General features: G+C 33.5%; 1 protein-coding gene across 4 annotated transcripts in view; it reads right to left on the minus strand.

Moving 5' to 3' along the window:
• LRP1B (LDL receptor related protein 1B) overlaps positions 1-24,502 on the minus strand; it is a 1,899,594-nt gene that overhangs the window by 236,276 nt on the left and 1,638,816 nt on the right. For all 4 annotated transcript variants that reach the window (NM_018557.3, XM_017004341.2, XM_017004342.1 and 1 more), the window contains 3 exons: positions 19,919-20,041; positions 17,645-17,826; positions 7,440-7,639 (listed from right to left, as the gene is read on the minus strand). In NM_018557.3, coding sequence (NP_061027.2) covers positions 7,440-7,639; positions 17,645-17,826; positions 19,919-20,041 — 505 coding nt within the window. The remainder of the gene's footprint in view (positions 1-7,439; positions 7,640-17,644; positions 17,827-19,918; positions 20,042-24,502) is intronic.

Consider the following 24,502-nt stretch of genomic DNA (forward strand, 5'->3'; position numbering starts at 1 on the left):
AAACTGACACAGAAATTGATTGAATTGTGTTTGCATCCTAGTGTTTTGTGGAAAGCAGAACTCAACAGCAATAAAATAGAATATCTGCCAGAAGAAATCTCTAAGTAAAGTGTTAAAGGAGGTACTTGGCTTTGTTGCACTGCTTATAGTAAAATGCAAGGAGAGAAAGGAATTACAAATGGAATTTATAACCAAAATGAAAGCAGAAAAAGATTTGGAAAATCGTCAGCCTGGCCATCTTGTTAAGAATGAACAAACATTTGAGAGAGAGAATATCAAGGGTGTGGCCAAGGGATCATTTGATAAAGAGATTAGTATAGATGGGTGGAAGCCAGGTGCTATCTATCAAGACAATGTAAGAATGACCTCAAAAGCATTTTGGAGGTCTTCAAGGCTACCCCATCCATCACAGGCCCAGAATGCCAGAGGCTCAGAAGCAGAACAATTTCGAGGCTCTCTTCCCCACCTTTCAGTGTGGTGCTCTTTAGCCAGCCCAGCTGTGGCCCAAGCAGGCCCTGATGCAACTCAGGCTGTCCCTTTGGAAGTCAAATATAGTAAGTCTTGGTGAGGTTCACATACTGCAATTTCCACCAGGATGCAGAGTGCACATGCAGCAAGGGCCTGGCTGCCTTGATCTAAATTTCAAAAAATGCCACAGAAAGCCTTGGGGTTGGGGTAGACAACTGCCACAGTGGTAGGGCCACAGTAGAGAGCTCCTATTATTAGGGCAATGCATAATGGAGCCATGGGGTTGGGCCACTGCAGTGTCCCTTATAGGGCAATGCCAAGCAGAGCTGTGGGGGTGGAGTCACCCGGAAACTTCAGACTGCTAGAGCCACCAGCTTGCAACTTCAGCCTGGGAGAGCCACAGGCATGAGATTCCAACCTATGAGAGGTGGAAAATGGGCTACACTCAGCAAAATTATGGAGGCAGGCCCCCCTGGAACTTTTGGGGCCCAATCGCCACACCAGTGTGTTCAGAAGGCAAAATTTAGAAGATTTTATTCGAGAATATTAATGCTTTCTCTACAGCTTTCCCCTTCTTCTGAGCTCTCACCAGTTATGCTCTTAAGAAAAGATTATCTTGGAGCCTTAAGATTTAATGTTTTCCGTTTTGGTTTTGGTGTTTGGTCAGAATCCATTACCTCTTTCTTCTTTCTCCTTTTTGGAATGGAAATGTTTATCCTATGCCCAGTGCACCATTGTATTTTGGAAACAGATAACATGTCTGATTTTACAGGTTCACAGCAGGAGAACGATAAATCATATCTTAAGTTTCACTCATATCTGATTTAGATAAGATATAGAGAAGACTATAGACTTTTGAGTTAGTGTTGGAACAAGTTAAGAATTTGGGGGCTATTGAGATCAAATAAGTGTATTTTGCACATAAGAAGGACATGAATATTGGGGCCCAGGGATAGAATGCTATGGTCTGAATGTTGATGTCCTTCCAAAATTCTTATATTGGAACCTAATACCCAGTATGACAGTACTAAGAGGCGGGCCTTTGGGAAGTGATTAAGCCATGAGGACTCTATCCTCGTAAATGGGAATGGTGCCCTTATAAAAGAAACTCAAAGGAGCTCACTAGCCCCTTCTGCTGTGAAAGGACACAGCAACAAGGAACCATCTATGAAGCAGACAGTGAGCCCTTTACTAGACACTGATTCTACTGGCACTTTTATTGATCATGGACTTCCCAGCCTCCACAAATGTATGCAATAAATTATCCAGCCAATAGTATTCTGTTAAAGCATCCCAGACAGACTAAGACACAGGGTATACATTTTAAAGTAACATCATTGCTCTTTTCATTTTGAAGAAGACACAAAAAATATTAGGATTTACTGAGATGCATGCTTTCTTTTATAGTAATTATATTCTAGTGGCTTTGTTTTTGTGTGTTTTTTCCTCATATATTATGCAATTTACCTGTCCAATACTTGAATCAATCTGAAAGATTTCAGGTATGGATTCAACTTTATTTGTGTAAGTGTATACTTATGCTATAACTATTAATATTAGAGGCTCTAACAAGTAGGTTTCAATCTTCAATTGTCTGTTCAAAAGCAAGGGTGCTGTGTGAAAACTGGAAAGAAAGCAGTCCCTGGAATTAGGTAGATCTCGGTTCAAATTTTGATTCTCCTGATTACTAGCTCTGTGACTTTGGACAGGTTACTTAATCTCTTTGAACATATTCCCTTGCTGGCAAATGGCTTTAACCGCACTTATTACATATATAGGTTGGTAGAATAATTACAAGAGCACATATTGCATCAAGCACAGTCCCTTGAAATCAGTAGGCTTCTAATAAAAGACTTAGTTCATAAGAGGATGACCCCTGTTCTTGGAATCCCATTAGGCTAAGAAAATGTCTGTTGAAAGACAAAATAAATACTATGTGTAAAATGCACAGTACAAGGTAATGCTCAAGAGTATAGGTTTTCTCCTCCATCATTAATTTGATTAGTTTACAAGTGTTCAACTTTGAAATATGTTAATAATCTTTATGATAACACTCAGGACTGGGGATTGTTTTGGCAGTTTGATATTTTCATCAAGGTTGAATGAGAAAGCATTTAATTATTACAGATTTCCAAACTCTCTCTCTTAGGCTTAAATTAAGGAAGAGTCATTTGAGATTAAAACGTGGAGATTTGGGCCGGGCGTGGTGGCTCACGCCTGTAATCCCAGCACTTTGGGAGGCCTAGGCGGGCGAAAATCAAGAGGTCGGGAGATCAAGACCATCCTGGCTAACACGGTGAAACCCCGTCTCTCCTAAAAATACAAAAAATTAGCCGGGTGTGGTGGAGGGCGCCTGTAGTCCCAGCCCCTCGGGAGGCTGAGGCAGGAGAATGGCATGAACCTGGGAGGCGGAGTTTGCAGTGAGCCAAGATAGCGCCACTGCAGTCTGGCCTGGGTGAAAGAGGGAGACTCTGTCTCAAAAAAAAAAAAAAAAAAAAAAAAAAAAATGGCAAAGATTCTGAAAGTATTGATTGATCCATGTAACTGGAGGCTTAAACTTTTAGTTCTGGACTTCCCTTTCATGTCATATTTTTCAACACCCTTATTTCTACAAATGAGGCAACTGAGGTCCAGGGAATTTAACTACATTGTTCAGGGTTAATAAGCTAGTTAGCAGTAGATCCCATCCCAACCTGACCCAGAGCCTTGAGGTTCCCAGACTTCTTTTAAGATCTTAAAGGTTTGCTTTCTCCAGTTTGAGGAGATCCTTTCACTGAAAGATCAGTACTCCAGCAAAGGCGTATTACTTCTTATCTAAAATCAAAGCCTAAGATTTTCCTAGGAGGGTTTCAGTTTGGGAGTTGTAAGGAATCAAACCCAAATATATGGACCTACAAGAAGAATATTTTTATTCATATATTAGGATCAGTCTGTTTTTGTATAACAGTGTATTTAAAAACTGAATATTTCTACCTGGAGAACACCCTCAAATTGCCAAGTCTCTCACTGGACCTATTCCATGTCTCAAGAGAGAGTAGGAGGAAAGAGTGTCACTTATTTGCGAACTTTATTCTAGTTAAATTATCAGGTTTTCTGAAATGCCTTTTAGGGAAGGGCATAATATAGAATGTTTAAATACGTCTTTAGAATAGCACTTTTGCTCTTAAAATTAACGCATCTCCCACCAAAATAGAGCATCATAACATAGAGATTCTGAATATCTAAATTAGGAGTAGTTTGGCACTATTAATTCTTTTTAAAAATGTACAAATATATGCAAAACTAATAAGTCATCAAATATTGGAATTATTTTCCCCTAGCTAATTCAATAATAATATAAATCATTTACTTAATTTTTATAATGCCACTACCAGTATTTCTAAGCTTACATATATCTCCAATTTGATCTACTACATAACTATTGAATCTAACACTGTATCTCCATTCCCACAGCTATAATCACTTCAAACATTTTCTCCTAAAATATTTTAACAGTCTCTAAATTGGTTGCCCTTCCAGGGTCTTTCATTTCACATGCTGTTGTCAAATCTAATAACAGCACTCCATCAACTAAACACCATCAATAGCTCCCTGTGACCTAAGGATAAATTCCAAATTACTTAGCATACAAGGCTTGTGACAATCTGGCCCCAATTTGCCCTTGTTCATCTAGTGTCATTATCTCCTTCTTATATGACTTCCAGTCATAGGCAAATTGAGTAAACCCCATGCTATTTCAAGACTCTATTACATCTTTGCACATGCTGTTCCCTCTGTGTGAAGACTCCTTCTTACACTTTCCCTCTATGGGGAGCTTTTACTAAATCTCTCAAACTGCTCAAAGATTTTCCCACTTTAGCAGTCTTCAGTACTGCTGCATGCATTTTTGGAATATTTTGCACCTACTTCTTACCCACAATCTAATTTATGTCTTTACCTGCATATTTGTTTTGCCATTTGAGTTATTCTCTGAAGGTAGAGACTCATTCATCTTTACAACACCAGGGGCCTAGCATAGTGCATGGCACAGAAAGACAGGTCAGTAAATATTGAATGAATGAATGAATGAATAAATGAATGATGGGCATAGTTAACAGGAAGAAATCAGAGCAATGAATAAAATAAACTAATGAAGATGTAATTTAAAATATACTGTCTAACTTATTCAGTAGCATGTTTTTTACTGTATCATTATATTATTAATATTACATCATATGTTACTATGGTGAATAACAGTAGAGTGATACAGAGAAATAAAGATTAGGGAGAGGTTCATGTGACTAAGATTGCATCTAAATTTTCCTAAGCTAGTAAATTGACCGATGTATTTTGGAATTTCTTGTTCAGGTTTTCAATGTGGTGTGTGGATTTGATAGGAGGGTGAATTAGGGTAGATCGGGGAGCAAAGAAAGAGGAATGGAAGCTCTCAAACAAATTGTAAGGCACATGTACCTTGGAGATAATCTGAACTTTAAGTCACAGAATTTTTAGAAACCTCAGATATTCTTGGTCTAGACAAATAATAATAAAATAATGCTTCATTTATAAAATTACTCTGTGGTGTAAACTGGAATATCTTTGGGGAAAGAATACCCAACTTTTTAAACCATAAAGTCCAAGGTCTAACTTTAAAATTTGGCTTATGAGAAAGGGCTGTTGTTCTGAAAAGTCTCATATGTTTTTTATATTCTCAAATTACTTTGTCATGACTGGTATGTCTCATCGTTCTGGTTAGCTCAGATTTCAGTTTTAAGAAATATAATAAATGAGAAAAATAATATTGGTCTGGTTTTAAAAAAGTGGCTAGTGATGAAGTAACACAAAAGTTATCGATATAAATGTCTCATTTTCCACCTGCAAATAAACAACTAGGAAACCATAGCATCCTTTGTCTTTATGGGGCAAATGCAAGTAGAATAATCCAATTCCACTTTACAAACATGGCAAATTAATGGCTCTTTCTTTCGTTGATGGTAGAGTTGGCATAATTCAGGCTGGCTCCAATTAGTACCTCATTAGTAACTACCAGATAATTATTGGCCTGCGCTCAGATATTGGCAGGTGCCTGATAAGGCACTTAATGAATTTTTCACTAGTCTTTCTGAGAAAACCTTCAGGAGAAAATATTCTGAAGGCTGCAACTCTACTTTTCTTCCCATTTAAGTCTTGATGCATTTTCAAAATCAAGTTTGAAATTTTTAATAACATCATACTAGACTATCTTTCAGCCAAATATTTTACTATTTAATACATTTAGTACCATTTCTACCTGTTACACATGTCTCTCTATCCAAAGTCACCACCAGTGTTATGATTGACACTTTAACATGCACTTAATTTTGTATTAAGGTTATCAAAGCATTAGTCACCATATAAGTGACATGATTTTTTAATAATAAGTAGGAGATGAAGTCAATAGTTTCTAATAGATCTAATATTTTTAACAATTTTAGCTATTCAGACTTCAAAGACTCAAATGAAAGGCAAATATTTAATGCTGCAGTGTTTTTAAATAGTCACCTACCTAATAACAATATATATATAAATTTTGTTGTACAATGAAATTTTAGTAGAAAGTAATACATATACAACCTCCTAGCACTTTATATGGAGGCTAAAAATGAAAAGGTTTATAGTTACATAGGAAAAATATTGATTGTCACAATAAAACTTTCAACTATGCAACCCAAGAATGAGGCAGAACATTTCATTATTGATTCTTTGGGGGAGATATAACTTTTAAATGCTAGGTGTGATTTCAATCTGTCAACATTCCTTTTGCTGTAATTAAAATCCTAAAGTGTTCTTTAAATAACTTTTCACTTAAATTGCATCCTGATGAGTTTTTTATCTCCATAACTGGAATGTCAACACCTAAGTAAGTGACTCATCCAACTACACTCTTTGTATTACAATGTTCTTACCCTTAAGAAAGCGCCTCTAAAAACTTCCTGTCAACATTACTAGTTAGAAGGATGAAAAGATGTATTTGTTTAAACATCAACTGACAGGAATATAGGTAAAATTATTAAGTGGTGTAACTTTGGTACCTTTTACCTTTTTTCTTTTTAAACTCATTGCTTTATTCCACACTGGAACACACTGGCAGAGTATTACTCGATGATTAAGAATAATCCTCTCTTCCTTACCATTTCTCATCCTTCCCTCCTCCAGGGTTTTTGTCTTAAGCTTAATGCCAGAGAAGGAAGTAACTTGATAAGCTAAACTGAATTAACATGCAGACTTTATTTGGGACCTCGCTTTGAAACTCTTATTTTAAGTGATGTTTGGAAATGTAAACCCCTGATAGCAAAGGTGACACTAGGTTGGTGAAGATCAATAAAAATTCATTTATTTGTTCAGGAAAAAATCTAATTCTTAAAAAGCTACCTGTTACCTAAAACGTTTTGATGTAATTTGAGTCATTTGTGGCTTCTGCTATATCCGTGTCATGTTTAACTATACGTGACATCTTCTCTGTTATATCCTTGTCTGTTACTATTTTGTATGTTAATTATTGTTGCTGCTGTGATTAGGTAACAATAACTTTAGTCATGTACATAGCTTAACTGATAACTTATAAAACTATACTTTTACTCAGTTTTTTAAGAAAATTGAAATCCTAGCAGTTTGCAGTAATAGCCTCATATTTACAAGCAAATAACCTTCTATTTCAATTCAGTTGGGATGCATGTGGATATTAATTTATAAAACTACTGCCCATTTACTAGAAAATCTATTTAGAAAAATAGATTAAAGAAAACATTGATAGTGTAAAATATCTTGTGCATAACATATAATTTTTGAATACATCTAATTCTAATTTACCAATATTTTTATAAAGAAGTATAATAATGTAACCTTAAATTAAATATGTTTTATGAGAGAAAGCATATAAAATAAATATATATTTTTAAATAAATATTTTATGACCTGGTAAAATACTAGAATATTTATGTTACTGGACCAACCTTTGTGTCTATGAGATCCATCCATGTTGCTAAATTCAATGTGATTTTCATCGGCCCAGTAGAGTCTACGATTAACATAATCTATTGTTAGTGCCATAGGTCTAGAAATCTTGGTTTCTATGACAACACTCTGATTGGTTCCATCCATTCCAACACGGCCAATATGAGGATACTCGCAGCAGTCAATCCAATACAAATATCTAGGAAAGAAAATCAATACTGATTTTGTTTACAGATTCTCTGGGAGCAAAACAACAAACAATATATTACTTTTTTGCTCAACTGTTCCCACATTAATCTTGCCATTTTTCTGAATTGCAGCTTTTAAGAAACATCCTTTGATGCAAAATTTCTTATGGTGTTTTATTACACATCTAGTATGATTTGAAATATTCTTATAACTTTAAACATATGTTTATTTTAGAACACAAACTCATATATAACAATATTATATAATAATATCATGTGTTAACCAATTATAGATGTTCAAAACTAATATATGTAAACTTTCAAAAGATACCTATCAATGTTGAAGGAATACAATTATCACTATATATACTTTCTCTTTTGGTGTGTTATCTATGAAAAATTCAAAAGGAATTATGGAGGTGCACATTTTATTTCCTTAATATACATTGTTAAATATGGTATCCACTAACCAATTATAACTGTTTAAATTTAAACTAATTAAAATAAAATTAAATGAAATGAACTGTATTGCTCCTTGGTCACACGAGTCACATTTCAAGTGCTCAGTAACCATGTGTGTCTAGTGGTCATCATATCTAACAGCATAAATATGGAGCACTTCCATTATCACAGAAAGTTCTACTGGACAGCAGTGATTTACATTATGTTATTAGAAGTTCTAGATAGGACAGTTCCAAAAGTGGGGAAAAAACAGGAAGTGAATTAAGTAATATTGATACTATATAATTAGGTTGAGTTCAGTATAAATATTACACCCGATAAAATGCAAATAACGTATAAGCGGCAGATTACTTAGACGTTTTTCTCTGTTTGATTAAGCCATTTGTGTTTTTCCTCAAAGTAAGAAAAATTACTTTATGTTTTAGATGTTTCCTTGTCTACATAAAGATTTGAGTTACAGGATCTTTAAAGTTATTTTCACATTCCAACTCTGAAATTAAAATCTGTTAACACAAGTAGATTTTTCTCTATTTCATTCTTTCTTTTTGCCAGATATAATACTTAGCAATTAGTTCTTCAGATTTACAAGATTTGCATCAAAATAATTTGGTTTGAAAATATTTTAGATGATTGTAAAACTGGTATATTCAATTCAAATCTAAAACATTCTTTAAAGAAATTTTTTCTCATAAATTCTGACAGACATAATTATGTTCAGATATTTTAACCACATACTAAAAAGGAAAGAGTTTTCAGGAAAATAAAAACACTTATCAAATACAAAGCTAACCTAAATAATCATTGTAAAGAACACACACCATATTGTGTTTTGACAATCATTTTCTTGATTTGCATAAAGGTATGGCTTATAAAGATAATACAAAAGTTATTTGATAGTCAAACTATCATTGAAGTAATAATGAAGTATGGTGCTTAAAAAAGAAGAAATATATTTCTGATAAAACCTAAACAAAAGGTGTAATGTTATAAACAGAGATTCAAAGAGCTCTGAAAGTCAAAATGTAAAATAAACTTGGGTCTGGTAACACTAAGTCAATTTCACATAGGGCAATACCGGAATTCCTCCCTAGTGTTTTTGTATATACATATTAACTTTAAACATACTTTGAAAATCTCAAATTATCAAGCAATAATAGATCCTAAGCCCCTCAAAAAATGATGCTATGCTTTTTAAAATCTTGAATTATTTTTGTTATAGTTTTCTTTTGAAAAGTGAATACGTCAGTGAAATACATCTTCTAAGAAAACATACAATTCAGTACTTTCCAATAAATTTATGGAGAAGTACCTTGTTGCCTATACTAGGTATCATGACAGAAGAGATGCAAAAGAAGAAACTGAATCAGAAAGAAGTAAAAATAAAAAGATAGTTTACCTTGTTGAAATAAATCAGAACAATTCTCTTTGCCTTACTGACCTTGAATCTTGGGAATACTAACATAATACTTTTTGATTTATCTGAAATGTAATATATTTATTCCAGCTTCCCTCACATGTTAGATATGATTAAATTTATTTGTGCTTCTATATACCATGTTATGTTTTTTAAGAATTGCATATAAGAAAATAAAAATTAAAAGTAATAATTCAGTGATTTCTATAACATTAAAAATAACACATCCAAACTGGTTTAATCAGAGAGTGCCATCATAGTTCTATTTAGCTACTCTACATGTAATTGTACTTGCAATTTAAATATCTCAGAAGTGAAAAAGGGTTTCCATTAAATTTGATCAGTACATGTGATCAATGCTATCAATAAAAGCATTGAAAATTATTAGATGTCAATAATAATGTTTCTTAAGTAAACTACAAATTTCAAGTGGTCTAACTTCCATATAATTGCAATTTTAAATTTTCATTTGTATTTTGAAATTTTTCATCTGGTAGTCTTACCATCATCATGAACCAAGACACCAAGAAGAGAAAAAGCATATTATTTTCATGAAGTCCAACATTTGTTACATCACACTCAGTAAGTTTGGTAAGAGTTCCAGAACTGAAATTCTCTCCCTCGAATGAAAACCCTTTCTTACTGGGCCCAAATATACCTCTCCAAATTACTCCCCACTTATGAATTGTGTGAAATTTAGCTCAAATCAGAGTTTTTCATTACAGTCTCACATTTTCACTTTTCAGCTAATAAAAATTTTTTACTATGGAAGTACAAAAGAGTGAATAATAATTTTACCTAGATGGAGGAAGGCATGAAAAACTGTTGTGCTTACAAATAGTTCTTTGGAAGAAAAAACTTATCTTCACAACCACCTTATAAATTTCTTGAGAAAAATGACGTTTTATTTCTTTCAGATTTTAGGACAAAGTATAACTTAACTTTTTTTTTTTTTTTTTTTTTTTGAGAAGGAGCCTCGCTCTGTTGCCCACGCTGGAGTGCAGTGGTGTAATCTCGGCTCACTGCAGCCTCCGCCTCCCGGGTTCACGCCATTCTCCTGCCTCAGCCTCCTGAGTAGCTGGGACTACAGGGGCCCGCCACCACGCCTGGCTAATTTTTTGTATTTTTAGTAGAGATGGGGTTTCACCGTGTTAGCCAGGATGGTCTCGATCTCCTGACCTTGTGATCCGCCTGCCTCAGCCTTCCAAAGTGCTGTGGTTACAGGCGTGAGCCACCGTGCCAATTTAGAATTTTAATTCTGGTTATTGAGGGTACTGGAGATCATATAGCTTAAAGCTTCCCCTGATAAAGTGATAACTGAGAATATAAAAGGTTATCTGCTTTGTGTATTATGATGGGGAAACTTGGAACAAGGACTCAGGTTTCTAGATTCGTACACTGACTTCTTTTCTAACAAGCACTATATAGCATCTGAAGCAAAGAAACCCTAGAAACAGATTACATGGGCTCAGATCCCAGGTCCTCTCATTACTAGTTATGTGAACTTAGGAGCTTTAATTAGCCTTCCTGAGCTTGGATTGCCTCATGTCTAAAAGAAGCAATTACAGTTTCTTCTCACAGGGTCACTGTGAGTATTAAATGAGAGAATATATGAAACAAACGTAGAACATTGATAAGTATGTAGCAAGTGTTCAGCAAATATTAGCTATTATTATTTTATCTGACTTAAATAGGAAATATGCATATTAATATATTTTTAGTTTAGTAATACTCTCCTACTAGACTACCTATTGCATCTGGATTGTATGTATCTTTGAATATGATTTGCCTTGATTTTATGTAAGTTATTACATGATTTGCCTATTTAAGTATTCGTCAAGCAGAAGAATATTATGGATAATACTCTATTATACTGAAGGAAAATGTTGTTCACCTGTACTCAGGTAAGCATGAGCCTTCATAAACACAGGATTTATTTTGTCTCTCAATAAGTGGTAGCTAACTTCTGATGGCTAGATATCATTTCCTTTTCATACTTAGGCCCTATTGCTATACTTTTTTTTTCTTCAAATTTGTCAATAAGACTGTGCTAAACATAATGGTAATTTTAACTTCTGAAATGAAACCCTTAAAAATTACCTATGTAAAAATGTATTATAAATAATTAAAGCTAAAAATGACAACTGCCGTGAAAATGTTGAAAGAAGAGATCTAAATTGCACCCAGATAATATGCAATGTTTACCCCAATCTCATATGTAAAATTTCAGCCCCAAATAGTACCTATTCTGCGAGATATAATGAAGTATAAGCACATAAAAGAATGTCTGCTTGTAACCATAACAATAGGCCTCTGTGAATTTGAGAATGTCTTTTATAGTTGAATATTATACATTGTATTTCTATAAAAGTGATTAAATAGAAGTCTTTCTCAGCTTTTACTATTTTTCTCTGAATTCAAGTATTAAATTTGAAGAAATTTTTTCCTTCCACCTGCAATTATCTCTGACTTTGAATTATAAAATTAACCATATATGTTATTTCCCTGTGTGTTTTTGCCTGAATATGAGGATACTGACATGAACTGTTTGGATAGATTTTAAAAATTGGTTTAAAAAAGTTTTTCTTATGTGAATATATAGTTTAATGAAATATTTCTGTGTTCCTCTACAGAAATCAGAAACTGAATTTTCATCTTGGTCTGCCTTTCATTCCATCACAACAAAAGTTCCCTTATGACTCTTCTCTTTGAAACATGCAGGTTATTAACGTACCAATGTATTGGTTTGTGCATAGGTGCAGGCACAAGGTCTCTGTAACTATAACCTCATTCTCTGTGTACATCTAGTTACTCATTCATCAGTCTTCTTCAACAGTGAATTTAGCAGTCTCCGTGTTAGGCACAAAAAATGATTAAGACATGACCTTTGTGCTAAAGGAAATTACTTTCTAGATGGAGAGAAAGACATTTCAGCTAAAAACAGTCATATGATGTTAAATGTTCAATATGTGGTGACCAGTTAGGCACAATTAGAAAATGTTTTACAGAGGAAGTAATATTTCTGCTCATCTTGGAAAATTTGGTAGTTATTCCAACTATAGTAAATGCTGAAGGACATTCTAAAATATCAAGTTACAGAGGGTAAAATGTGTCTTTCTAAATTTATTTGCATTGTCATTATCCATATTGGCAATAATGGATATGAATACTGAGTAAGTGTCTTTCACATATTTTCATTAACATATATTTCAAATTCAAAACATGACCTACTATTTCCTTGTGGATTTCCTAACAGACTTTTTTTTTTCACTCTGTTGCCCAGGCTAGAGTAAAGTGGCGTGCTCTCAGCTCACTGCAACCTCCACCTCCCTGGTTCAAGCAATTCTCCTGCCTCAGCCTCCTGAGTAGCTGGGATTACAGGCCCGTGCCACCAAGCCCGGCTAACTTTTGTATTTTTAGTAGAGATGGGGTTTCACCATGTTGACCAGGCTGGTCCCGAACTCCTAACCTCAGGTGATCCACCCACCTTGACCTCCCAAAGTCCTGGGATTACAGGCTTGAACCACCGTGCCTGGCCTCTAACAGGCTATTGTCAGAATTTTAGTAAAAGAAAATAAATGAAAGTATGTCTTTTAAAATAAGGCATGCTGGTAACGATCTAGGCAGCTTTCTTCATTTCCAAAAAACTTTTATCATCTGTACTAATTTTACCTTATTTTGAGAGAAAAAGTCTCACTCTGTCATGCAGGCTGGAGTGCAGTGGCACCATCTGGGCTCACTGCAACGTCCACCTCCTGGGTTCAAGATATTCTTCTGCCTCAGCCTCCCAGGTAGCTGGGATTACAGGCCTGTGTCAACAGGCCTGGCTAATTTTTGTATTCTTAGTAGAGAGGGGGTTTCACTATGTTGGCCTGCTGGTCTCCAACTCCTGATCTCATGTGTCCTGCCCGCCTAGGCCTCCCAAAGTACAGGAATTACAGGCGTGAGCCACTGTGCCCAGCCCTTACCTGTCCTAATTTTAAATCTTTTAAAAAGGATAATTGTCAACATGGAAGAAACTACAGGATTTGGGGTTCTTTTTTTCCTTGATCCCTTTTTCAGATGGTTTTTGCACAACATGTTTATGATCCACAATTATTTTGTTACTGGAAACTCTGACATGATGTAATAGGAAAAATCTGGGACCAAAGCCTGAAAACTGAATTAAATCCCCAGTGTAATATTTTATCACCTAAACAATTCTGAGAAAGTCACTTAGCCAGTTCGTGGTTAAATGTGCCTATCTAAACTATAAGGAAAGTAATACAAATAATTCTATGTTTCTCAGAGACTCTGGATAAACAGTACATGCATCTGAAGTGATAAACTGATAAAGTTTTCTAACTCAAAAAATGCTATAGAAATGGTAGCCATCTTTATTATTATTATTATTATTATTATTATTATTATTATTATTATTTGGGAACTCCCAATCCCAATAGATCTACAAACTGATCATTTCACTTTCTTGTATTTTTCTCTTTTTCTGTGTTCCCATATTCTGGGGACAACTCCTCTACCTGTTTGCCAAAGACAGAAGCCTTGTAATGTTTGTTATTTGCTGTCATTTTGTATTATGTTCTGACTTGTTCCTAGCTTTCCTTTACTCTGTAAGTAAACTGGATCCATAATTACATATGTTTAATTTGTTCCAACTGTATAAGTTCCTTGTAATTTGTTGGATGTGCCACACTCTTCTGTGTGTCTGTTCTTTCCTAGAGAGACCGTTCTTTTTGCCAAAAAATATCTCTTGCCCTGTAGAGCACCACGTCACTCAGCTACTTCTTACTCTACCATTCTTGTTCAGGAAGCTTTCTCTGATCCCAGTTGAGACAGAAACACTTCTCATTTTCTCTACCTTAAAAGTTATTGTATTGAATTGTGATTATTTAATCAGCTACCTACATACTAGACTGAAACATACTTGAAGACAGGGGACCATGCATTTTATTTTAGAGTGTAACATACTTGAAGACGAGGGACCATGCCTTTTATTTTTATTCTCACTCCTACCAACAGTGCCAGACATATACTAAATATTCCAGAAATATGAGTTGAATAAATGAATGAGTATATGTAATGTTTTCTGTTAATTAGGCATATCATACATTCACTTTAATGTTTATCATAATGGCCTTTGTTATGATTAACTAAAGTGACACCTTAATTATACAAAAAGATAAAATTTGCAGCAGAGTTTTAACATATTTACATTCTCTATTCTCTTTTAAAATGCTTATACATATCCTGCATACAGGTAATTTTTATCAATATTGAAGGTAAATTATTTCAATTACCCTAAATTAATAATAAATTAGAATACTCATTTCCACACTACACAAAATAACAAGAAGCTTAAGATAAAATTATAGGAAAAATTAGGATTTCAATTGGATTTAAATATAACAGCTCAGAAGACTTTCTGTCTACTTGTATCTTTACGTTCCTACTAAATACCATATCTAAAGTGCTATTGTAATAATTGACATACTGTTATTAAAATGAAGAAAGGACCCCCAAGACATCTTCTAAAAGTATCATTGCTCTAATACATAGGACAGCCTAATGATCTTCATTCTCCCTTAAACAAATTCTTACCTTTTCTTCACTAAATATCAGGACAGAAATCATACTTCTCAAGGAAACGGTAGTCAGTAGTTTTGATATAATCAAAACATATGCAAGTCGCAGTGGCAATCTGATATAGGAAGGTTCAATTGCATTTCTATTAATCTTAAATTTAAGTTTTCATTTTTTGAAGCAAGATTGCATAATATTTTATACAGTTATGGCATTTTCACCCTAGAGCTCATCTCATCAATGCTAAAATCCAAGTTGCCTGATTTTCTCACTCAGGGGAACTAGGCAAACAGCATGAACAAAAAGGTGCCATTAAATTTTATCCATTAAAATAGTTGTTTTTAATTGTTTCATAAAGAGATCCAACTTTTACCTTTTTCTTTGGTTATAATATGACATATCTATATCATAATCCAAATATTATCCAAAAATGAAATCAATGGAGTCTTTTATAACATCTATAATAATTTTGTACTGTGCTATTTTAATTGACACTTTTAATGGATGGGTTTATGTTGATGATAACTTAAGGCTGCTTTCAGTTTATGGGGTAATAACTGTAACCTGGGAGAAATAAAACCTAAAGCTATTAATAGATTCAGCTGCATTCACTAGAATAGGACACAGGTTTTGCTTCATAAATAGAAAAGACCACAGACTGCTATTAGCAAACAGGTAATGTTTCTTTCATTAGAAAGTGAAGCATATTGAATAGCATGAAATGAGAAGCTAAGCCAGCCATATTGATTTTGAAGAAAAAAAATTGTTCAGACACTCAAATATATATATATATATGTACACACACATATATATAGACACACACACACACACACATATATATATATATATATATATATATTTTTTTTTTTTTTTTTTGAGACACTGTCTGGCTGTGTCACCCAGGCTGGAATGCAGTGGCATGATCTCTGCTCACTGCAACCTCTGCCTCCTGGGCTCAAGCAATTCTCATGCCTCAGTCTCCAAAGTAGCTGGGATTACAGGTGTGCGCCACCACGCCTGGCTAATTTTTGTATTTTTAGTAGAGATGGGGTTTCGCCATGGTGGCCAGGCTGGTCTCGAACTCCTGACCTCAAGTGATCCATCCGCCTCGGCGCCCAAAGTGCTGGAATTAGAAGCGTGAGCCACCACACCCAGCTATCAAAAATCAAAAATAAACTTTCTTATAAAATATCCAAGAAATTGAAATATTCACATAATTAAGAATGAATAGATGATAGCCAAATTTAGTACATCTGGCCATTATTTCTTAAAACATACATATAAAGAGACTTTCTAGTGATTCCGTTTAAATTAAAATAAAATTGATACTCTTTGAACCTTCTGTTGCTATGGTAAATAAAATACTCAAAAAGATAAAATGATTACATAATTATATAGTGAAAAGTTAAAATGAGCACATTACCTTGAAAACAAAAATACGTGCACAGTACAAAGCTTCTCCTATTAGGTACTATTTTTACCTAAATTAATGTATACAGTTAAGCTATAAAATATACTATGACATGATTACTTTGCCAATTATAAACATGAGGGACCAAAAAAATTAACAGAGATACATTAACGAGAAGCAAAATCTAATTGTTGCATATGGTATGATAAAAGCTGTGGTTTGGTGAAATATGTGAATAAAATTAATTAATTTAAATTGCAGAAAATTTGGAGTACCAAAGTTATCCTAACACTTGCTACTGTGAATGTGTCCTATTTCAAAACATCAACCTTTCTTTAAATTTGTTATTTTACCAAGTATGTTGAGTAGGTTGAACTTCTCCAAAGATCATTTTGGAGCATGTAATCACTCTAAATTACAGTGCAAAAAGTTAAAAAGTTATGTACACTCTACTGAGCAAAACAACATAATTGAAAGTGAATTATAATGGTCATAATCTATAGAACTTTAGCAAACATACACCAGACAGCTTTGACACCTTCAGATGTGTTCATCCCTCATTTGAAATCTCCAGCCTGTGGTCCTGGGTCCTTACTATGACTTCTCTCCATTCTTGCAATGAAATGCAAATGAAACGGATCCACCACAAACTCTTCCCAATAGTCCCATTCAGCTTTTCATCTTGAAGGCACATGATAATGCACCCTGTCATTTATTATCCATGGATACTGCTTATGTCTCCTGGTATGAAGTGGTGCAGGGATTACTTTGTCCATATTTGTGACTACCCCAACCACTGCAAAACATCATCTAAGAATTTGTTCTTAGCCTGCCTTTCCTTCAAGATTTAAAGGCATTAAATCAGTGAAATCTGTATGTTTTATTCATTTCTACCATGGATTTATCAACTAGTTGGAAAATAGCTGTGTTTAAAACTTTAAAAAAATAGTTTCTGTAAAATTCAATCATCTTAATTTTATTCCTTTCATTGTGATAATCACATTACTGTTTTTTTCTATTTCTAAGTGAGAATTTCTGCACACTTACACGTTACATTGGATTTCCATGTTAATGATCTATAGTACTAGATTTACTACTATGAATGTAATCCAGTCTTAAACTTTAAGATTTTTAACAGTTTTTACAAACCCAGCTTGAGGATCTAAAGACAAGTCTCTGGGAAACTTCAGCCTTTTGCTAACGAGTATAGTAGGGTACAAGCCATTGAGTTTGGATACTTCAATGATTCTTTTTTCTGTGTCAGACCAATAGAGGTTTTTTCCAATCCAATCGACAGCAAGTGCATTGGGGACCGCTGTGTTATGAACTACCTACAAAACAAGAATTTAAAAGGTTAACAGCGTAAATCCCTAAAATAAGAAGTGAGCAATTGCTTCTTGATTTTTACAGAGATATAGAATTCCATTTAAATGTAAAGAATGGAACTTAGATAAGAAGAGAATAATTGACCGCAATACAATTACTTACTTGTTTGTGAGAAATTACCTAATGTGTAATTAGGTCCCTAGAACTTACACATAGTTTTAAATAAAATGATTTAAAAAAAGTTGTTGGAGAGCTGCACATTTGTTGTTCACATTTTTGTTAATCTATTCATCCTCTTAAAATTTGGGACAAAATTCTCACGCACATACACACACACACACACACACACACACACACACACACAAACTTAGAGATATTATTTTTCTTTAACCAGTTTGGGAGAGATAACAGTAGCATTCCTCACTCTCTCTACTGCTCTTGACCTATTTAGTTAACTACAAGGAGAGAAGAAAACACCAACGAGAATAGGCATTATTTTGAACCTAGCTTAAGGGAGGTAACAATGTACACATTCAGCTGCTGTTATCAATTTTAATCCATGAATATACCAAATACAGTATGAAATATAGTCTTTGCATGTATAAATATAATATATATAAAATGATCAACAATTTTTGATCTATATCGCTGGCATTCTGAATTCCCAGTACTTTTAGAAATATGTCAAATAAAACTTGAAGCTATATAGAAGCCAACAGTTACACAGTTAAAGACAAGAAAATGCCAATAAAATTTTAAATGTATCTTTTTCCCTAATGCCATCAATAATAAAGATACAAATGAAAGTGGCAATATGCACATTTGTAACAATAAATGATATCAATCTCCTATACTTAAATGCAAGACATCTGTTTTTCTTTTACCCACCACATTTCAAATTTGGAAAATTGGCATGGCTATTTAAATGAAAATCTGTGAATTAATAAATTTAAGGGAATAAAGATGTATTTTATCTTTACATAACCTTATGTAAATAGGTGATTTAAAGTAGTAATGGAATAGTAGTGGCAAGGCAGTAGAGAATATGCTTTCAAAAATAGTAAAGTATCTTAAAAAAATATAAAGGTAATTAAAAATTTTTAATGTATTGTAATGAAATATATGATCAAGTTTGAGTAATATAATCTTCACAGTTTTTAAACTAATTGGAAAATAAATTTAAAAACAAAAATCTCATCGGTTTATTTGTTCCATCTAACCATTGGGTTGGCTCAAATTAATCTATCACCATTATATAGTGATCTTTTATTATATAAACCATTATTAAATACAGCTACTTTAAATCACTTGAATCCAGCTTACTATTTGTTTCATCATTGTACATGCACACTTTAAGATCTCATTAATATTTTCAAAATGGATTGCTTTCACCAAAAATGAAATTATGTATGATATTATAGATGGCTACAAAAAAGTTAAAGTAATTGATGGGTTTCATTCACTTGAATTTAAAACTTCTTTATAATATGTTTTAATGCGTATATATAGTATTAGTAATTTGATTTTAAAACTCAGAATAACAAAAGATGGTACCAAGTTGCTCATATCTAGAATATGACATGGATCATACACATGACAGAACTGTGACAGAAATGTGATCCTCTCCAATCAGGACGTTCATGATTTTACACAAATGAATTCAATTATTTACAACTGTAATTGTTCAGTTTTAACAATATCATAATTTCAATCCACACTGTAATGTTTAACTTTTTCGATTACAAAGTTTTAGACTCAACTTTCTCTTTTATTTAAATCAACAGAATTGAATTGCAGGCACTAATCCTTCTAGCTGAAAGCACCCATCCCATTTCCTAGGGTTGTGAATAAGGTTCCATATTTTATTTACTCAATTTGATGTTTATGTTATTGCAAGTAATAGTGTTATAATGAAACATAAGAATAAAAGGTCTCATTTTTCATATTTAAAGTTTTAATCACACTATACAAATGTGAAATTGAAACCACCCTAATGCATTTTATGAGTAATATCATGGTCATAAAATAACATTTTCTATACAATTCAATCATACTGGTATAATATTCAACAATCCCATCATTGTAATATTTAGTTACCTTAATGTCACTTCCATTTAAACACATTCTATTTATGCGACTGCCATTGGGTCGGCTAGAATCGATCCAATAGATGAATTCTTCTCTGTAATCAAAGTCTATAGCAATAACATTGTTTAATCCCTGAAAATAAAAAAGACTATGTTGTCAATGATAGTTCATAGAAATAATTATAAAATGTTTTAGGAGTTTACAGGAATCACTGTCTTCCTTTGAAACTAAATAGTTCTATTTATTATAATAAAGTATTTGCTACCAGTTCTCATTAAAAGTATCATATATTCACATTTTCCTTACATCGTATGTTTAAAAAATACTATATTAATTTGAAAATATTTTCCACATAGGCCACAAAATTTCAAAATATTTACAATGGTTTTAAATAAATAGCCAGTAACGTGAAAATAAAAATAACTTCTTTTAAGGAGATAAAGTTTAGAATTTCCACTTTAGGTTAATATGAAATATAAACTTTATGTCATTATAGTCTGTTCCATGGAAGAGCCTGAAAAAAGCATATATCTAAATTGAAAAGGTAGATCATCTGATTAAGATGAGCCCTGGACAGCCAACTGATGAGTCAGAAGAGAAGGTATAGAAATTTTACTTTCCCCCAAAGCTCTTGTCCCAACAACAATATAAAAGAGCTGCCTTTCTTCCTGCTTCAGATGGCCCCTTGGCAATACAGTGTGATATTAGAATTTAAAAGTTACAACCTTGGGTGAGTATTTGACCAAGGAGGAACTGGGTAATCAACATGTTTTTATTCCACATGGTGGAAATGTGAGGAAATGCCTCCCTTCAGACTCATGGTTATGCATTTTTTAGCAGGCAGCAAAACAGAACACAAATTCAATTGATGGGTTTCTGGATGCTACAGCTTTTTGGTTTGGCAGTTCTCACATTTGATTCGATTTGAGGACTGTACATCCAGGATCTAGGAATCTTTTAGCTGCAGAATTATTCAAATGATTGCCTAGGAATTAGTTTAATTCTGACTTATTGTTAAAGATTATACATTTACTACCTTAAGGACTGAGTAATTTATTAATATATACATTCTATTGATTAGAAAATAATGTTATAGACATTTGGCAAAACCTCAAGAGATCTCTGCCATGTTTTTATATCTGTGGAGAGCTTGCTTACATCAATATTCACCGTAAAGTTGATGCTATGTCTCAAATTGTTTTAGAGGGAAATGTATGAGTAGCTGTAGTCTTATGGGTAGAGACAAGCATCTTCAGAGAGGCAGGGGTTTTTTATTTGTTTTAGCTTGGTTGCCGGGAGGAGGGAGAAAGAGGAAAGTAAATCTCAGGTCTGAGTTTAGTTTCAACATCTACTCTCAAAATTCAGAATCTGATGATAATAATAAAACTGACTTAGATTTAAATAGTTCTTTGTAAGAGACAAGCCAAGGCTAATGATTACTCTTCAGATATTTTTTTCCAAGGGCATTCAAGACTAAGGGTGTCCTATGTATAGCAGCAAATAAGAGAAGGTTCTGGCAAATACTGCTTATTTTCCCTTCTCACAGCAGGGCTAAATTTTAGTAATAATAGTGTTAAAATCATAGGTTCAAATTTTATGCTTTTATTTAGCTTAAAATGAGCAATCTCATTTTCTTGAGGTCCAGATTACAAAGACAACCTGTAATAACCTAACCTCACAAAAATCTCGTGCCATAGGTCATAAACAAGAGACACAAGGCAATAATATAGCTCAGTGCAAATTCCTTGCTAAGCCAAGATGAATAAATGCAAGTATCTTTCCTACTGACAACACTATAAATCATGAATAATGACTATAAGTGCTAAAGAAGGGTAACTGATATTCAGTCACAGATTCAAAAGATTCATTAAATATCCATTTACATCCTAAAAACTGGAGAACTCCTTAACTAAATGCACATAACCATATATATGTAGGAAGTTGCCTATGCAAAGTAAGTCAAAGTTCTAAAATATAAATTGAATGTGTTCCAGGCAAGTTTGTAGAGGGCTTAATAAATTCATTCCAATAGTAGTTTACAATATCCCTTCTGTTCAACTGCTTTTCTCTCCAGAGCAATAATGTAAATAAGTTAGGATTCTGTGATGGCTTGGCAATTCAGGTGGCTAAATTAGAGAGCTTTGCAGGGAAAAAGCAGAGAGAAACATGTCTCTAACTTGAGCAAAGATTTACCCACAATCCCCAGTCATGGCAGAATTATCCTATTCCTTCTTTACAATAATCAATTTAGATAATAAAACTCCAATTCCAAATTTAGTAAGTCAACTATAATAAATTAAAGCTGCAAATGCAGAAAAATGGAAGCTCTAAATTCCAACATATCTATCTAGCCAAGCTGGTCATTTTTCTACAGCTTTACCCTTAATCCCAGTGCAATGGTCTCTTTGCAGAATCATATGCAAGAAACATTAAAACAGCCAGGGGCATGGTCAAAATAATGTCTAAAAACTAGTCATCCCAGTAGTTTCAGAGATGAAAATTTGTTTCATCAGAATCCTATTTGCTTCTTTCATTTCTGTAGCTAAAGACTTGCACTCTTTGGTTCGAGATGATTAATTTAGGAAATTGTGTTTTGTTTCTCACACAATTTTACTGGAATAAAGACACTGTTCAAATTGAATTGGAGAACATATTGGAAAGGTACTTGATTAATTTTCATTCCCAAAATGTATGTCACTGAAGTACAGTTTCTAAATATAGTATATGAATTTAAGTTATAGCTGACCTTACTACAGTTATGTTGTAGAATATAGAGGGCAAGAAAAAGCTCCACCAGTTGTTATAATTTTATGCAATAAAACTTTATGAGATTGTTACTGACTACAACAAAGAGAATAAAATTTGTGATATTAGAATCAATCATTCTTGCTAATCAGCTGCACATAAAAGTTCCAAATAGTTAAGACAAGGATATTGTCTTTTCATTTATTTTGGCTGTGAGAAAATGTGCAGAGATAATTGCTTCTATGTTCTATTTCATTCTGCATATGTGGACAGACTCTCTGGACAAAGATAATGGTTTCTACTGCCTAGAACTCCTTTAAAATTTCTATAACACTGTGATGAAACTGTGAGTAAAAATATGTTCCCTGAAAGAAATGACATATTCCCAGCAGCCCATAGGCAAAACTGGGCAGAAGGCTTGCCATGGGTTCTTTGGGTCTCTATTTCCTTACTCAATGGGCACCATTATCAATTGCTTTCCAAAGACATAGGTGTGTTCAGATCCTTCATGAACGTTTTCATCATCCTCACTGTTTCTTCATTCCCATATGTACTGCACTAAGAAAGTATCCGAAACTCATCCCCACTTAGGTACTAATGACTGGCAACAGTCTAAAATGATACCACCAGGAGAAAAGAACTATCTTAAAATGTTTTTTTAAAAAAAGAGCATTAAAGTAGTTCTGTTATGTGAAATAGACTTAAATGATGCATAGAGGAAAAAATCATTTTGTTCCATTAAGAACAATTTTTGACAACACATTATCTGTGAAAGACAACAAAAGGAATGCTGGTAGACATGTACTGAGCTACAAGGTAGGAAAATGAAGCAAGAAGCTATCACTGAAGCTCTATTATAGCTCTGTCATGAAGATAATGAATATTGTTCTATATTAGTTAAACTTATGGTTCAGCTGAGCTTAAAAATATTCTAAAGAGATAACTTTATTCCTTTAAACTGAGATAGTGGAGTCTAAATGGTCAGAATGTTATGTACATATGTGTGTGTGTGTATATATATACAGCTTATATATATATACACAACCTAGTGAAAAAATAGGCATGTCCTTGTTCCAGAGACTATACTAGAAAATATGTGTCTGATGCACCTAACTTTGAATTTATAGAAAGACTTAGAAGGGCTGTGAAGTCATATCCCAAGAAAGATAATTTTTAATATCTTATAATTTTGATATAAGTTTAAAAGCATAGGAAAAAGTTTAAAAATACAGAAAAAAATATATTAAATCAAGTTAGATAAACTAGGAAACTATTTGGGCAGCAAAAAACTTTCCCTCTTGAAGCAGTTATATGTACGTTTTATCCTTAAGTATTTCTCTTATGTTATTTATGTCTTAAATAGTTGTTCATTCTTATATTTTGATTAAATTTTTGTTAGTTTTTTATAAACAACATAACAATATTTTATATTTTACTCAGTCTTGTAAGATTTATAATTAAAGAAAGAAGTAGTGTGATATGGTGGATGTTGGTGGCACACTCCATACTCAGAACAAGGGTGTAAACCTCCTGGCTATTCAGGATAAGGCGAGTGTACATGTCTTAAGCACAAGGAAAGTCTGAAAACACTGGTGAACTGGAGAGCAGGGCTCTCTATCAATGCAGCAGCTGCTACACAGCTTGGATTTTGACCAATCAGGAATGTGAGTGCTGCCCTAATAAACTTTTCTGTTTTTTTCCTGAGTAGCCAGAAATCTGGATTTTCATCTGACGTGTTTATTTTTAACCTGTGACATAGAGGAAGACTAAAGAATCCAACTCTGTCAGGATGAGTAAATATCCTACTAGCTAGTGAATATTTAACACTTGAGACTAAATCCTGAAGAA

The sequence above is a fragment of the Homo sapiens genome, chromosome 2 (genome assembly GCF_000001405.40).
Source record: "Homo sapiens chromosome 2, GRCh38.p14 Primary Assembly".
Lineage (NCBI taxonomy): Eukaryota > Metazoa > Chordata > Mammalia > Primates > Hominidae > Homo > Homo sapiens.